The 18,309-nt window shown below is 36.1% G+C and overlaps 1 annotated feature.

The window, feature by feature from the left end:
* Window positions 6-181: a silencer, noted in NCBI's record as "fragment chr4:181126772-181126947 (GRCh37/hg19 assembly coordinates)". NCBI's record gives its function as "represses an EF-1alpha promoter that drives an FKBP-Casp9 reporter gene in an ReSE screen in phorbol 12-myristate 13-acetate-treated (for megakaryocytic differentiation) K562 erythroleukemia cells {active_cell/tissue: K562(+PMA)}" and the evidence as "EXISTENCE:reporter gene assay evidence [ECO:0000049][PMID:32094911]".

Below are 18,309 nucleotides of genomic sequence, written 5' to 3'. Positions count from 1 at the left end.
AATGAGAAAATTACAGATTATTTAGGGATATTTGTCTGGTCAAGATCAAACTGCAAATGACAGAAACCTTGTGGAGGTGGGATTTCTGTAGGATACATAATGGAGTGTCCATGCGTTCACACTGCTGGTTTGGTCACTGGCAAGGCTAGCGTGCAATCTAGTTTTGGCTTTCTATTCCCAACTCTTTCACTTATTCTATATTTCTTCTTTTGATGCAGTGACATATGTTCGAATACCAGAAAAGTGATTTGCTTTCTCAACTTTTATTTATAATGACAAAAGAAAGCTTTTCAAATGGTGATTTAGAGAACAGATAATCGGCTTGACTGTGAACCTGAGTGCAGATGTCCTCAGACAAGAATAAAGACTGTTAGGTACAAAAGCCCGACTGCCTTCTATTAGCTTCTTAGGTATTTGTTTTAGACATTGCTTTCTAATCACACATTAGTTCTCCCCAGTGCCATCACTTTGGGTGTCAATTGAGCTATGTTTACAGAAATAAAGATGCAAACTAAATATTATGAAACTTTAATTCAATTTGAAATATATGTGCTGCCAGGGCAACCATGCTAGTGCTGGTTTGGCTGTATTTAATCATAAAACCAAGTTTTCTATGTATTGAACTTCTTCACAGAATACTGTGTGAACCCCTTTGTGCACAAGCATGCTTGATTAATAAATAACCGAATATAACAAAAAAATGTATGAGGAAATGTCTTACGCTCTCTGTGAAATTGAAGACAGTAGGTCATCATTCCAGGTGAGGTTAATGTCCGGGAAGGCAATTCACATGGTAATAATAGCTCACAGCGGCATGATATTTTTCAACGCAACCCAACTCCATGAAGCTTTCTCCTCCCCTGTCTCACCTCCGCCCGTGTGCCGCCCTGAACCTACCAGCAGCACCGAGGACTACACTAATTCTGATATCTTAAACATTCTTCAGCCATAAAACAGAATGAAGTCCTGTTATCTGCAACAACACGGATAGAATTGGAACTATGTTAACTGAAATAAGCCAGGCACCAAAAGACAAATTTCACATTTTCTCGCTCCTGTGTGGGAGCTAAACATTTTTTAAAAACTGAAATCATGAAGATGAAGTATAATAAGAGTTACCAGAGCCTGGAAAGTGTAGAGAGGTTCGGGGTTACAAAGTGGGAGTGATTAATTGGTACAAAAATTCAGTTAGATAGAATAAATAAAATATAGTATATGGTAGCACAATAGGGTTAACATAGTTAACAATAATGCGTTGTATATTTTTAAATAACTAAAAGAGTATAACTGGAATGTTCCTAACACAAAGAAATGAGAAATGTTTAAGATGATGGATACCCCAATTACCCTGATTTGATCATTACACATTGTAGGCCCCTATCAAACATCACATGTACCCCATAAATATATACAATGATCATGTACCTATAATAATTAAAAATTATTTAAAAATGACCTAGTTTGAAAAAGAAACCAACCTCATGTAATCGTACCTCAATAGTTTTTGTCTTTTTTTTGTTTTTTGTTTTTTTTTGAGACGGAATCTCGTTCTGTCACCCAGGCTGGAGTGCAGTGGTGTGATCTCCTCTCACTCCAACCTCCACCTCCTGGTTTCAAGCAATTCTCCTGCCTCAGCCTCCCAAGTAGCTGAGATTACAGGTGCCCTCCACCACACCCAGCTAATTTTTGTATTTTCAGGAGATGCAGGGATTCACCATGTTGGCCAGGCTGGTCTTGAACTCCTGACCTCAGGTGATCAGCCCACATCAGCCTCCCAAAGTGCTAAGATTACAAGGTGTGAGCAACCACACCCTGCCAGTTTTTTTTCTTTAAACCAATCTAGGATTATCTTACTGTCTTTATTTTCCTCCACTTGCTTCTCATCCACTTCCATGACATATACAACTTTCTGTTAGATTTAGACGGAACTTCACTTAGGTTTAGATAGGTATCTTCATTCATTTTGACAACGAAATAAAAGTATGCATTCCCCGCTTTGCCCTCCACCATCCATCTAAGCACCTAAGGTCGCAATTTGGGTTTCATTTCTGGCTCCTCTCTCCATCTCAATAATTTCTATTAAAAAAAAAAGCATCTTATTCCCTTACTTAAAGTAATCCCATGATATTCCATAGTCTTCAAGATAATCTTGAAACTATTTAGCTTAGCTGTACTGTGGTCTCATCTCTCATTTCTCTCTTCATGCTATGACCTCATGTGGGATTCTCACATGGGCTTCCCTCTCACTTTCACACACTTACATATGCTGCTTTTTTTGCTTGTGGCCCGCTTCCTCCTCCCTCCTACTCTTTTCTCAGAAGTCTTCCACACCAGAAAGTCTGTGTAGACCTCCCCTGCCCCCTCCACACACCACGCAAACCCACATGTCTCTTTCCATAGCACCCACTACGAAAGGACTTATCACAAGCTATTGCAATCATCTGCTTCATTCCACGATTTTTTTTTCCTGATTTAACACTTTGGAGAGAAGAGGCCACACATTCCCACTCACGTCTCTGGCATCTAGTATACAGTAACTAATATCAAAAAAATTTCCAATAAAGGTCCATCCTCAAAGACTAAGAGGTCTCAACTCAGACAGTACCCCCAAAAAAAGACGTGTTTCACTGTCCATCTCTCAAGGAGATGTTGTTTTGTTAACCTTTCTGGCAGAAACAAATGTGTCCCCTGAGTAGCTCTAAGTGGTATTTGGCAAAGCACGTCCCTTCAAATACTGATTTTCATACCACGAATAATACATGCCTAGGTAAGATATTTTTTTAAAACTGAAGTATTATTTTCATAGAATAAGATAGACTGTGGCTTTAAATGACTTTTTCCCAATATTCTATCTTTATAATCTGCAGAGTTGCAGTCATTTTTCAGACTCTGAGTGAGTATGCCTTTTCTCCCTTTATCTTATGTCTCTTTCTCATTCCCCATCTTGCAGCTGTCTTGAGTTAGACCCTATACTTGGTTCCCTAGTTATCAGCATCGAGGTAACTACAATCCACATTAAGCATATTATAGAAGAAAATTACTGCTATGGAAAAAATGTCCCGTGATATCAGTGAATACATGAATAATATATAAAGTCAATATAACAATTGCAGTCTATTCTCTTTATAATGCAGTGTTATTCTAATTTTTTCATTAACAGAAGTGCGGCTCTCAATATATAGAGATGATGGATTTATTTAAAGTTTAAAAACTTAAGTAGGCCGAGCGCTGTGGCTCACGCCTGTAATCCCAGCACTTTGGGAGGCCAAGACGGGTAGATCACAAGGTCAGAAGATCAAGACCATCCTGGCTAACATGGTGAAACCCTGTCTCTACTAAAAATACTAAAAATTAGCTGGGCACCTGTAGTCCCAGCTACATGGGAGGCTGAGGCAGGAGAAAGGCGTGAACCTGGGAGGCAGAGCTTGCAGTGAGCCAAGATTGCGCCACTGCACTCCAGCCTGGGTGATAGAGTGAGACTCTGTCTCAAAAAAAGCACAAAAACAAAAACAAAACCAACATTAAAAACCTTAAGTAATAACTTTGGAATATAAGCCGTTATATTCCTTAACCAGTATTTTTGTTAAGACTAGAATTTAACTCTTCTAGTTCTTAGCATTTAAACTTGTTCTGTTTCCTCATAAGAAATATTTAAACATTACTCTCATACTGTCTTATGTAAAACTTTATAGTATTTTTTCCCTTAGGAAAATAATCCCTAGATTGTTTGGCTTTATTTGGGGCAAAACAGCATTATTATCCTAACATTATTTTGGTTCCTTTATTTTAAGTATTTTTTGAATTTATATTATAATACATAATGAAAGTAAACAATTTACTGGCAATTATTATTTTGTAATATAGTTTTCTGATACTATACAAACTAATTGTAGGTACTTGTGATTTGAGGGACAATGAAATGTCCCATTGCAGAAAGAATTCCCCTTGGTCCCAGGAGCCTTCCTTACTCCTGATGAGCTCTCTGTCATCTGTATTTCTATGCATTTAGCTGGGGTAAATAATTATGCTGCTTAAACATTATAATTAGTTTGTGGTTATAGTAATATCTCTTTTAAGAAAACAAATCTCTGAAGAAAAGAGGAAAATGTAGGATTGCAAGATGGAAAGAAGAAATATTCAAAGAAGAGAAGAAAACTTTGTCCTTAACTAACTTCATGGCCTAGAACGAAAGGCTGAGGAGCTAAAATGCTGAAAAACAAAGAAAGAAAAAAAGCTTATTAAAATGTTCTAACTTCCATCACTTACAAATTCTGATTAAGCTGCTCTATATGGAGTAATATTGTAGGAGCTTTGTTTTTATTGACACTTACTTAGTCAAAGCATCTTTTCTTTAGCACTTACAATTTCTTTTCAGGATTAGGCTTATGGGTGAAAGCCCATTTGCATGAAAGCTAAGTTAAAAAGATAAGCTATGAGGATAGCATTTGTAGGGTAGTGAATTTTATTTTCTCTTCAATATGTACAATACATTTAAGAATGTCTCTGTAATACGTGCTTTATTGAGCAAAGAAACAGCCAATGCATTAGTAGATGTACTTGCTTGAAATATTGATGTTGTTTAAAAATAGTTTTGTGACTGACAATTTATTGAATGAGAAACCACATTATGTTTTTATGCATGATTAAAAATCTCTTAACAAACTACTTAGCTCAGAGAAGTGGGAAGTGGAAATTTTCCAGAAAGAACAATGTGCCTCCTACAATAGAAATTCCTGAAGGAGCTAGTACAATGATAAACACAAGGACATAAATACTTGTATTTCATCTGTCTTTGCTTAACCTAGGATTTGGAGGGCAGGGGGAGCAGGACTGAGCATGGTGGCTCACTCCTGTAATCTCAGCACTTTGGGAGGCAAAGGTGGGAGGAATCCTTGAGGAATCCTTGAGATCAGGAGTACAAGACCAGTCCTGGCAACATACCACGACCCCTATTTCTAAAAAAAAATAATAAAAAAAAAAAATAGAGAAATTAGCCAGGTATGGTAGCATGTGCCTGTAGTTCCAGCTACTCGGGGATCTTGGGTGGGAAGATCCCTTGATTCCCTGAGCCCAGGAGTCCGAGGCTGCAGTAAGCTATGATGGCACCACTGCACTCCAGTCTGGGTGACAGAATAAAACCCTTTCTCCAACAAAACCCCAAAAACTTCAGTTGAATAATAGCTATCACTGATAAAATTTTAGTAATGCCATTGGTAAGCCTAAAAAGTATATATAAATAATAATTATTTTAATTAAATGGCTTGCTAACATCTTACACTAATACATGTTAAGATAATTCCCATAATAGGATAAATCAATTCTGCAGGAGTGAAAAATACTGGAATCAAGGCCTTTTTAAAGAGTTAACATTTCCAGCCTCTACTACAGATAAACAGCAACATTATAAAATAAAATATGCAAAGTAGTACTGTTTGAAAGATGGACAAGACATTGACCTTCCACTTGTAATGATATTCATGTTGTTTTATGTTGTCACTTAACCTAATAAGAGGAATATTGAATAGATGGCATTATTTTCATTTTCTGATAATAAGACTGAAATATAGAAAATAAATGATTATCTCATTGATATAACAATTCATTCAACAAATAGGCATTGAGTGCTTACCATTTTCCAGGCGCTCTTCAAAGAGCTTGGTTCTTGACAAAGAACACCACAGACCCATCCACTACCCATTCAGAATTTATATAGAATATGTGCCCATGATTATCTAGGTGAATCAATGCAACAGTAGCTCTGATGTCCAGATTTCCTAGTCTATTATTTTGTGTACAGATCCTCTAACCACTTAGAAATAATTTTTAAAATATATGTACCAACAGTAGTACCATTAATTGAAAAGTTATATTTAGCATATCCAGTAACCTTAACAGAATACATACTAAACAGTGTAGTTTTAAAATTATATTTTGGGCTAGCTTATTTAATAGCTATAGAATGAGTAAAACGTCTGTCTTTACAGTGAATGATTTATAATTTACCAAGGCTTCTAAAGAAATGGTTTATTTTAATAACACAAATCAGTTTATGTGTAACAGGGTAATCATTATCTGCATAAACTTCAGTAGCCTCACAACAAATATAGAATCAGTCCTCACGCAGATTTATCCTGGGTCAGAATCCTCCATCTATAAGTTATTCAACAAATATTTCATAGGCATCTATTACATGACAGGGACTGTTCTAGTCACTTGAGATGTATCAGTAAAGGAAAGAGACAAACACCTCTGTCCTTATGGAGTGACATTGCAGGAAAGGACAAAGACCACAGGCAATAATCATATTAAATAAGTAAATCATACAATAAGAAGGTGATGGATGCTATGGAGGAAAGCATTTAGAGCAGATGAAGGAAATCAGGTGTGCAAGGCAGACGGGCAGATTCCAGTTTCTAAAAGTTAGTCGGTGAAAGGCATCATTGCAAAGGTGACATTTGAACTAATACTCGAAAGAGGTGAGGCTGTCAGTCTTGCAAATATTTTTTGAGTATGGTGTGAGGGAGGAATCTTATTTCTTTCTGTTTTTTTCATATTGCTAACCAGTTGCCTTTATGTCATTTATTCTCTCCTGAACAACAATGCCAATTCAAGCATACACGAATTTTCCATATGAAAGTGGGTCAGTCTCTAAAATGAGATGTTAGGAGCACGTGCCCCATAGGGTTGTTGTGAAGCTTGAATGATTCCTATCACATAAAATGCTTAGAACAGTGTTTGATAGACAGTAAGTAAACAGAAAAGGTTCACTATGATTATGATGGTTGGTGTTTGTGCTATTAATATTTTATACAAGAAAAATATTTTTCTTTATTGATCCCATCTTCAGCTTCCCACCTAAACTCTATTTTTTTCTGTAATTTGTCTGCAAATTCTGTTGTATTTTCTATATATATAATTTTGTTATCCGAAAATAATAACATTCCATTTTCTTCCTTTCCAACTCTTATATATTGCATTTAATTTGTTTACCTCAATACTCTTGTTAAGACTTTCTGAACAAAGCTGAATAGTCACAGGAAAAGTGTGCATCATTAAGTTTCATGTCCTTACATTTTAGTTATACTCCTTGTAAAAAGCACCTATATAGTTGAACTTTTTAAAAAATTGAATTCCACAAATCTCTGTCTTTATGAAGACATTTAGTCAATTTCCAATTATTAGGTTTATCAATATTTTTTTCTCTGCTGAATTGGAAATTATAAACTCAATAGTTGTTGTATGGTTGGTTATCCCCGAATTAATTTTAAAAGTCTAGAATTAGTTAACATCTTTCTATCTATACTGAGAACCAGTGAGATGTCAGTACACTTTAAATGTAAATATCCTTCATCTGACCTACATGACATTATATCTAGTACTTAAGCACAAAAAAGAATATAAATTGGCATTGTTATTGTTTCATAAATATAACATTTGCTAAAATATATAACAGCATCTTGGCTCATCATTTTTAGAAACTGCCTTAGCAAAATTTGATTTCGATAGATAGAACACTCTTATTTTTTACTCTGAACAAGCCTTGTAACTTACTCATTTAAAAAAAATTGCTCAGTACATAATTTAAGTATATTGTTTGAGGCTTTAAATATAATTAGTACTTTAGTATGTTCTCTTTCTTTAATGAAGTACTTAATTAGCTTTAACTCATTCATCTCTCAGATAAAGTTACGATTTTTAACACTTAATCTTTCTTGAAACAAGCATTTATACTAAATGAACAGATAGTAAACATCAATAGCAGTGAAAATTTACGTGCATATGTGTTTGTGCGTATATCGGAGATTATGTTCCCATGTGAATGCATTTTATTTAATTTTGTAACCAAGTATTTTAACTTTGAAATTCATTTTAAACCTTTTTTTTCCTTTTTTTCCTCTCAAGTCTTAAGATGTAACCTTGAAACAGATTGTAGAAACATTTTTTCTTAGCCTTGAGATAAAGCCTTGAAATGTACTTCGAAACTCTGCTTCCCTGTTTCCCAGCAGACAGTCCCTTGCACCATGCACACTTATCTAACTGCATGCTTGTTAAGAAATTCCAGGGCCTAATTTTATAACAAGCCAGGCAAGGAGGCCCAGCTGCGGAATTCTCCCCAACGAGGAGATTGCCTCAGGACAGATAATCTACCACCCAGCCACAACCGAGATGGTCCAGCCAGCACTCCAGGTGGACGATGACTCAAGATAGCCTTTGGAACAAGATATTCAGACCTGCATCCTGCGTTTCTCCTGCTGGTTTCCATACCAAGTCCCTCCCTTTTAAACCCCTTCTCCCAAGACTAACATTTGAAGTGGTCTTTTGGAGGCAAGAACCTGACCATTTCCCAACTGCTAGCATTTGAATGAAGTTGCTTTCCTTTCACTACACTTTGCTTCTTGTATTCTGGCCCTCGAGCAGTGAGCAGCTGGACTTGCATTCAGTTACAATTCTAAAAGATTAATTTTGACAGCTTCTTTACTAAACACACATACACACAGTCCCTGGGATTTTAAAATAACTGTTATATTTGCCTTTTTTAACCTTTCTAATTGGATAGAATTATTTATATAATTATATATACAAATCTTAGATTCAGTGTGAAAGAATACGTTACTTCATTTGGAAATCTTTCTTGTATTACTTTTGTAATCTATATGTTATGTGATGGTATATAATTCCTAATTCTGAAGTGCATGGCTTTTTCACTCTGGAATACTCCATCTTTCTTACAGGTATACAGCTTATTATTATTATTATTATTATTATTATTTGAGACAGAGTCTTGCTCTGTCGCCCAGGCTGGAGTGCAGTGGCATGATCTCGGCTCACTGCCAGCTCTCCCTCTCAGGTTCATGCCATTCTCCTGCCTCAGCCTCCCGAGTAGCTGGGACTGCAGGCACCCGCCATCATGCCCGGGTAATTGTTTATATTTTTAGTAGAGACAGGGTTTCACCATGTTAGCCAGGATGGTCTCGATCTCCTGACCTCGTGATTCGCCTGCCTCGGCCTCCCAAAGTGCTGGGATTACAGGTGTGAGCCAGCTCATTATTTATTTCCAAGCATACTGGCTTCTGAACGGTACTTTATAATAAATGTTTGTGAAGTGAAGGATAAATAAATACATACATTAATATTTCAAAGTCATTAAAGTCTCCAAAATTAAGAATACAGTAACTACATGTGGTTTCTATTTATGAGTGCTTATTTCTATGGTTAATAACAATTACTTTTTAATGAAAAATTGACCATATATGGATTGATTGACTATATGTATATAAATTGATATAATGCCCTAAGATCCAAGAATCAGTGATTCAGTATATTGCAAACTGCACTACATAAACTTTTAAAGAATTTAGGATTATTCTATTTAACTTGATTTAATAACTGAGTTTTTAGTATTAAATGCCTTATCTGATTCTTAGCATTTGCATGCCATTCTTTCCAAAAGTTAAATTTATTTGCCTCCCATATGCAAGTGTAGGATAGTTCTAGCCTCCAGAAAAAAAATCTAACATTTCAGCAGAAGAAATTTAAGGAGCACCTCACCAATATTAGGCAATACCCTGACTACTAATAACTCCAACTTGTGCTCATCCTGGTTACCCATTTTGCTGCTGACATTTTGTTCCTACCTTGTATTCTCTTTTAATAACCATAACCTTATCTAAGAATTGGGTTTTGAATTATTTATTGCTTTTGATAAACTCAACTCCTCTACTAAGTCTGTAGAAGACTGTCCCTGTCCCTGAACTAGGCCTATGGCTGTGACACTCTCCTTAAGATGTTTAACAGAATCCGTTCCTCCTGAAACTCAGTGGGGTTTGGAGTCAGACACACCTGAGACAGAATTCTAATTTAGTTTCTTTCAAGGTAATTTCTAATTTACTTTCTTTCATTAATGCAGATCCATTTATTAAATTACTTGAACTCCAGTTTTCTATAAAAGAAAGCAGTGTAAAAGATTGTTTCTACAATCGCTATTAATTATAACTATAGTAGTACTGCTTATAACATGGTAGGACCTATTTTAAGCATTTTACATGTTGATAATTGCATTCTCATAACAACATTTTGAAGCAGATATTCTTAGGAATTTTTCAATCACCAAATGAGATAACCTATGTAACTTGGCTGGAATATAGTAAACATTCAACAGTTTAATAAATGTTATTCCCTCTTACTTAAACAAATGAACTGTATTTGGCAAATAGGTAAGTCTGTACATTATCAGACTTTGAACAATCAAAAATAAATAAAACATCCACTTAAAAAACCAAGTATTTTCCCTCCTATTTTTTTCCATTTTAATCTCTAAATTTCCACCAGCATTTTTCTGACACACATGCTAATATTTCCTCATTAGCAACAGAACACAAAAACTACATAAAATAACTTTTCTTATGTTTGTTATCTTCTGTAACTCCCATCCTCACTGAATTCCCTTCTATTTGACAGTAAAACTTCTAAAATAATTTGTATTTTATTCCAGCTGCTATCCTCTTCCATCAATTAGCTCAAGCCTTGAGTCTTGACATTTCCCAGAGAGTCTACGAGAATTTCTTTCCGAAGTCATGGAAGAAACTTTAAAAGCAGTGGGTTTTTCGTTTCATTTTTCTTAATGCAAGTGTAGAATAGTTGAAGTCTCCAAATAGCGACCCTGCGTTCCTTCACTGCATGGGCTTCTGTGACGCTACTCACTTTCCACCTTGTCTTGCTTCTCTGGCCACACCTTTCCTTGGTCTTATTACCGCTTTCTCAGTGAAGCTATTCTCAAGGATTATCTTCACATTTTCTCACTTTTCCTCCTACAGTCTATCTTTCTTAGAGTTGTAACCATAATCTCTGTAATTTCTAAAACACTGCCTTCATTTGTATCTCTCATGAGACTTTTTTCTGTTTTTAAATAAATGTTTCCCCACTCCTTTGGTTGACCTTATTTATTTACTTATCTATTTATTTATTTTGAGATGGATTCTTGTTCTGTCGCCAGGCTAGAGTGCAGTGGCGTGATATCGGTTCACTGCAGCCTCTGCCTCCCGGGTTCAAGCAATCCTCCTGCCTGAGCCTCCTGAGTAGCTGGGATTACAGGCACCCGACACCACACCCAGCTAATTTTTGTAGTTTTAGTAGAGACGGAGTTTCACCATGTTGACCAGGATGGTCTTGATCTCCTGACCTCGTGATCTGGCCACCTCGGTCTCCCAGCGTGCTGGTATTACAGGCATGAGCCACCTTGCCAGGCCTGGTTGACCCTTAAGAACCACTGCTTTCTGATTCTGACTAGATTATTCATCAGTCTCCAAAATCTCTGAACCTTTGGTTGCGTGTAATTTCTTTCTCCCATCTCTGGTCATACAAGTAAGCCCACCTTTGGGGCACGTAATTTGTAGTTCACTCGGTATACATTCCCATCATTTTACCAGTCTCATCAGATTCACTGTCATGACCCTTAAAAGGTAAAACTTCACCTTTCCAAAGTCTCTTATAGGAAGGGATGATCATATGACACATTTCTGAAAAATGACAGAAAACTGGAAATGTGCCAGGCATAGGAGGGCAAATTTGCTCTACTAATACAGGTGTCAAACTTCCCATTTCCTTTTTCTCCCCTGCTGTCTAAATAATGTTGTAATGGCTGGAGCTTCAACATCCATCTGACAACATGAAGAATAGAGAAAGGAAATTTAGCCCTAGCATCCTCAAGCTGGTGAACCAAAGCCAGGCACCATCTGGCTGTGAGCACTTTTTATAAGAGAAAAAATTTCAGCGAAATTTTTAGCTGAAATGTGTCACATGCAGATCAATGCAATCTCTAACGAGCATAGTACCCTTTAGTATCCAGCTTAAATTCTGATCATTTCCCTCCAGCCCAAAGTCATTGCTCCCTCTTAAGTTTTCTTCTTTTCATGTAGGAAAAGATACACTGGCTTTGTCAACAGGGACCAGAATTAGGATTCTGCCACTTAGGTGCTAACCAGATTATGCAATTTATTCTTTGTTCTTCTGTACGCGCTTTTCATTTAGAATGAACAAGAAACACCTGGAAGGTCTAATGTTAAGGGATGAAGGAGAAAATGGAAAACTGCATGACATTTAAAGGAATCTTCCTAAGAAAGTCATGGAGTGAGCCATATAGACATGCTTTTCTTAGGAAACTCTGCCAGATACAAGCTGCTTAAGGGTAGGTAGCATTTCACATGTAAAGTGGGGGTAACAAAAAAATTTTCTAATAATTTGTTTATATTAACTTACTAATATTAATTGACAGTTGATTGTATGTCTAGCACTGTCCAAGTTAAAGATATAGGGCTGGGCATGGTGGCTCACGCCTGTAATCAGCACTTTAGGAGGCTGAGGTGGGCGGATCTCTTGAGGTCAGGAGTTCGAGACCAGACAGGCCAACATAGTGAAATCCCGTCTTTGCTAAAAACACAAAATTAGCCGGGCATGGTGGTGGGCACCTGTAATCCCAGCTACTTGGAAGGCTGAGGAAGGAGAATAACTTGAACCTGGGAGGCGAAGGTTACAGTGACCCGTGATCGTGCCACTGCACTCCAGCCTGGGTAACGGGAGCAAAAATCCATCTAAAAAATTAATTTAAAATTTTTTTAAAAAGATATAGTTTAATTCTCACAACAATGTCATGCATTAGGAACTACTATCTTATTGTTAAGAAACAATAAATGAGGAATCAAGATATGTAATTTGTCCAAGGACACAAAGTCAGAGTGCTCAGTCATAAAATTATGATCCCACCACTCATTTCATATTACAAAACTTATTAGGTAAATGCAAAGTATTGGGAAAGCATCATGTTTCTTGTGGCATTTTCTGCCTCGTAACTCTGAATCACCATCCTTGTCAATCAGGCACCATGTACCTTATCTTGTTTGTTTAACAATTTATCTCTTTGAAGGCCGATGACTTCAAATTACCCTATTTTTGCATCTCCCAGGGCCTTGCACAAAAACATTCAGTAAATTTTCCTGACTAAATAAAATGCTACATTAAAAATCCAGAAAATTGTGGTATCTTAAAAATTATAAATTTTGAAATCTTGACCATGATTTATTTCTCATATTTTTTCATTAGCATATATATATATATTCATTAATAGATGTAAAATTTTCTTAAAGACTCTGGTCACCAGTAAATCCATATTTAAAAGATATTTGTTCATGTCAAATCAATTGAACTATTTTCTATATTTTCTCAATGTTTCCTCTTGCTATAAAATATTTTTCTGGTGGTGCTATATTGTATGAGTGTATCATTTGACACTTCAGAGTAAATAGCAACATTCTAATAAAAAATAAATGTAATAGAATTAAATGAATTTATTATACAGATAGGTCACAGTGATGTGGGGATGACATAAATTGATTTTTTAAAAATTTTTCTGGTTAATATTTAAAATTCTTATGTGTTTTATTAAAGCTACTAAGTTTAATATATGCAACGCAATATGGAGTAAAATGATTTTAGCCTTAAAGAGTGCTTTTTGGGCTGGGCACAGTGGCTGACACCTGTAATCCCAGCACTTTGGGAGGCCAAGGTGGGTGAATCACCTGAGATCGGGAATTCAAGACCAGCCTGACCAACATGGAGAAACCCCATTTCTACTAAAAATACAAAATAAGCCAGGTGTGGTGGTGCATGCCTGTAATCCCAGCTACTTGGAAGGCTGAGGCAGGAGAATCGCTTGAACCCGGGATGTGGAGGTTGTGGTGAGCCGAGATTGCGCCATTGCACTCCAGCCTGGGTAACAAGAGCGAAACTCCATCTTAAAAAAAAAAGAAAGCTTTTTTATGTATGACTATATGCTTTTGTTTAAAGATTATGTAAAATCTTTTGTATGATGGCAACATCTTCAAATTTGTCTGAAGAGTGGCTTTCTTGGAATTTAGACTCAATCTATAAATATTTGGTATATATAAAATAATTTAAGTAAACATGTGTTTACTCAAACAGACCTAACCTTTTTTCTACACTCAGAATTTGATAATCTGTTTAATTTTAATATACCTGTAATATTTCTTAATTTTGGTCACACTTTTGAACTTTGACTTCTCGTCCCTTGGCTCTCCAGTTTCTCTCTGTTTAGAGTCCTACAAAAATTCAGAATTTAAAAACTTCCTTCATAATTGAGAACTAGTTGAAACCTATCAGCTTGCACTATGGACATTTTTCAAATCTCAGTTATACAAACAAAAAAAGAGGGAGTTCTTCTACTACATCTCAGAGAAGCCTTATATAAAATCTTTCTCCTTTTCTTTTTTGTAATATATTCTGCTGCACTACATACTTATGATCATCAATTTTGTTTTTAAATTTCTTATCAACCAAGATAAATATTTTTGTGTCTGAATGGTTCGGTAAGTACTTCACCTGATTATAGTTCTGCTCAATAAGGATTCAGAGATTTATAGTCTAAGATAATTCAGCTCCAATAGGTGCCTAAATTTTTTCCTGAGGCACAGGAAGGCAATTCAGTTCAATGCTGAAATGCCTTCATAAAGGATTAGATGATATTAAACAAACAAACAAACAAAAAACAAGAAAGCAAACAGAAGATACATTTGCCATGTAGACAGCGTATACATGAAATATATGTGATAGGATATTAAAAGATATGTCCCCTGTCATTTCATTTTGAACTGAGGCACAGAAATGGGAACAATTGGTGATAAATATCTTGATAATTTATTCAGGACTTGCTGAGGGATTGACCCAAAGCTGGTTCTTCAAATTTTACCCCATCACCTACCTAAAGCTTATCTACAAATAGAGAAACATGTATAGTGAGTATTTATTGGAAAGAGTTGTCAGAATGTTAAATATTTCTCCCTTACACCTCAAACTTCTTCAAATCAGTTCAATCAACCACCTAGAGATCTTCATGTAGCGAATTTGGTGTATGTGACTCTGACATGGACACTTTTAAAAGTAAAACTGAGGAGAAAGAGGAAAATGGCACAGAATTAGAGAGAGGAAGCAAGAAGCACTAATAAGGGTAAGGAACAAGTGTGTTAGCTCTTTTCAGGGTCCAAGAGGACCCTGGTAAACAAAAAGACATGAATTATCTTGAAGGTTACACTGATGAGATGAGTGTATAGACTCCATCAGGAGTCTTTCTGTGGTGTAACACCAGAAGCAGGAAGTGAGAAGAGAATACAGAAGGTATATTGACCTTTTCACAAAATATTGCAGTGAGAGCTTCCCACGTGGGGGAGTTTCAGAACAACCCACAGAATAGTCCGTTGGGAGATAAACATATTTGGGCATCTATCCCAGCTAAGACACCAATGCCAGATGTCAAATACACTAGTCACTTTTGACTTGGCTTTTATTTTTAGGGAAACTCCTCTCTGAATTTGAATACAGGAGAAATATTAAAGAACAATTATTATTAAAGAGTTGGAAAGAAAAGACAAAAGAAAGTGACCATGTGCCCCTTCTTTATGTAGGTTTCTGAAACTGAATCATGATAAAGTTAGGGTAGGGAGAGAAGCATTGAACTGAATGAAAAACTCACATTTTCCTTTAAATAACAATGAATATTTTAATGCCCCCAAATTAGACCTTAATATCTAAAATAAGCACACTTGCCACAAGGTCTGCCACAAATATTGTCCAAGCAGAAAAGGGAGATCTACTATTTTATGTTTCAAGGACAGTGGCATGAGGAGAAACTAAGTTTCATGATTATACTTGTAGCAACTCCACTCATTCAATAAACACATATATGAAAACATGGCACAAAATAAAATTAAAATACCCTAAATAATAGCTGTTTCCTTGTCTTATCAATTAAATGTCTGCCGGAGCCATCTGGATGGTCCAGATTTGCTAGTAATCTTGAGTTAGTTTATTTACACTCTGAGGGATAAGGCTATGTTCAGTCAGATGGTGTGAAATTTCTACAGCTGGTGCAACTTTCTATGCACAGTCATGCCTGTAAAGATGTTTCATCTGAGAAAATCTCAGGGAATGGCTATCAGCCACTGTGTAGATTCCCTACCCAAATAACCCTGTGACTAGTACACAAGGAGATCCCTAACACTGCACTTTCAGCTGTGCCCAGTAGATTCCATTCCTATTTTCTTCTGTTTTCTCTCCTGAGTAATCTCTATTAAATATTCTCCAAGGAAACTATTCTAAGCCAATTAAAGATGGTCAAAGAATTAAATTACATATTCCTGGATATAATGAATAGCCTTCTAATATTTTTGATGCAACATTGTTATGATCTCATGTGAAATTTATCAATAACTTAATCACAACAGTTGTCTGTAATACCCCTAGGAATATTTGTGTCCAATAATCACAGTGCATAACAACCACTTGGCATAGTATTACATTCATGAAGTTGAATAAATGTCCTAAGAAAAATACAAATTGGGTTGAGGAAGCACTTATAAATAACATCCAGTTCATTTTTGTTTTGACCCATGATATGGTTTGGCTGTGTTCCCACCCAAATATCATCTTGAATTGTAGTTCCCATAATCCCCATGTATGGTGGGAGGGACCAAATAGGAGGTAATTCAATCATGGGAGTGGTTTCCCCCATGCTATTCTTGTGATAGTGAGTAAGTACTCAGGAGATCTGATGGTTTTATAAGGGGCTCCCCCCTTCACTTGGCTCTCAATCTTCACCTTCCTGGCGCAACGTGAGGAAGAACATGTTCATCCCCAGTTCTGCCACGATTGTAAGTTTCCTAAGGCTTTCCCAGACGTGCAGAACTGTGAGTCAATTAAACTTCTCTCCTTTATAAATTACCCAGTCTTGGGGATGTCTTTATTAGTAGTGTGAGAACGGACCTATACAATGCACATAAATCAATTGTTTTTTACTTCAGTGAGATTCATATTCAACATTTTCCAAAGAAAACAAAAAGGAATTTTCTCAAGGGCTTAGAAAATTTACTATTTTTAAATCACTGAAATATATCACACCTATCATCTACTCCTATGTTTGCAAATACTTGACATATTTCAGAAAAAGAAAATGGTGGTAATAAAATTCTGGTGCTATAAGCAAAATTCAACAGTGGCAAGGAAATTAGTCTCTAAGAATAAATTCAGGACACCCTTTTTCATGGTGTCCTTTGACTCAAAGTCTGTAGCCTTGTGGAAACCTGTTGTTTCATCTATTTCTAGGCTACACATCCCTCTTATAGATGATGTACAGGAATATGTAAGAAGTGTGGCACTGTTTTAAGGACCACCTGGAAACAGGGGTCAAGTCTTTACCAAAAATGTGGGATGTCACTATCTTGGTTAAAAAACATTTCTTTTATCCGCAAAATGGGGAAAAACTTGAAAAATGAAAGCTATGAGACCTGTCATTTGAGCATTTTTACTTCTACACTAGACAATGATTTAGCTAAAGCAAAACTGCATAAACATCTGAAATTTACTGTTTCATCTTACAGACAGAGCTTTGAATGAACTTAAAAGGAAATAGAATCACAGGGCTGATTGTTTCTGAAGATGTGTCTAAATTGGTTTTAATTACAATATAAGAAAATAGCTAAAATTTATCAAGTGCTCACTGTGATGGTTAATACTGAGTGTCAACTTGATTGGATTGAGGGACACAAAGTACTAACCCTGAGTGTGTCCGTGTGGGTGTTGACCAAAAGAGATTAACATTTGAGTCAGTGGGCTGGGGAGGGCAGATCCACTCTTAGTCTGATGGGCACAATCTAATCAGCTTCCAGTGAATATAAAGCAAGCAGAAAGACATGAAAAAGGTGAGATGGGTCTAGCCTCCCAGCCTACATCATCCTCCTGTGCTGGATGCTTCCTAATACACTATGTGCCATAGACAGTTCTCAACATTTATAAAGCAGGTTTAAGTGGTCATGTAATTGCCTGACTTTAGGTTTTCCTCTGCCTTCCCTTCTGAAATATTTACTTGATATATGGTATAATTTCCAAGACAATACTGCCACAGTTCTTAATTATATTGGGAGAAAGATATGCATAAAAATACCTAGATCTTAAGGCATATTCTAGTAAACATCTATTAAGCTATAGTAAATGTAAAGCAGAGAAGAAAAAAGTCCTGTCTAAATGCATTAAGGGAGCTACATACAGACACTTGTATATGGGTCTAAAAAGCTGAATAGGATGTGGATTGAGACCCATGTGTACAAATTGTTTTTAGACAGAAAGAAGATCTGATGTAAAACTGACTGAATAGACAAGAAAATGCCATGCAAATACAAGCAAAGGTGAATTTCCATGTGAGATATAATTGTACACAAGGAAATCACTATGTGTTTTTGAGAAATATTG

The sequence above is a fragment of the Homo sapiens genome, chromosome 4 (assembly GCF_000001405.40).
Source record: "Homo sapiens chromosome 4, GRCh38.p14 Primary Assembly".
Taxonomy (NCBI): Eukaryota; Metazoa; Chordata; class Mammalia; order Primates; family Hominidae; genus Homo; species Homo sapiens.
The sequence above is the reverse complement of the archived record's forward strand: the minus strand, read 5'-3'. Positions and strand labels throughout refer to the sequence as shown.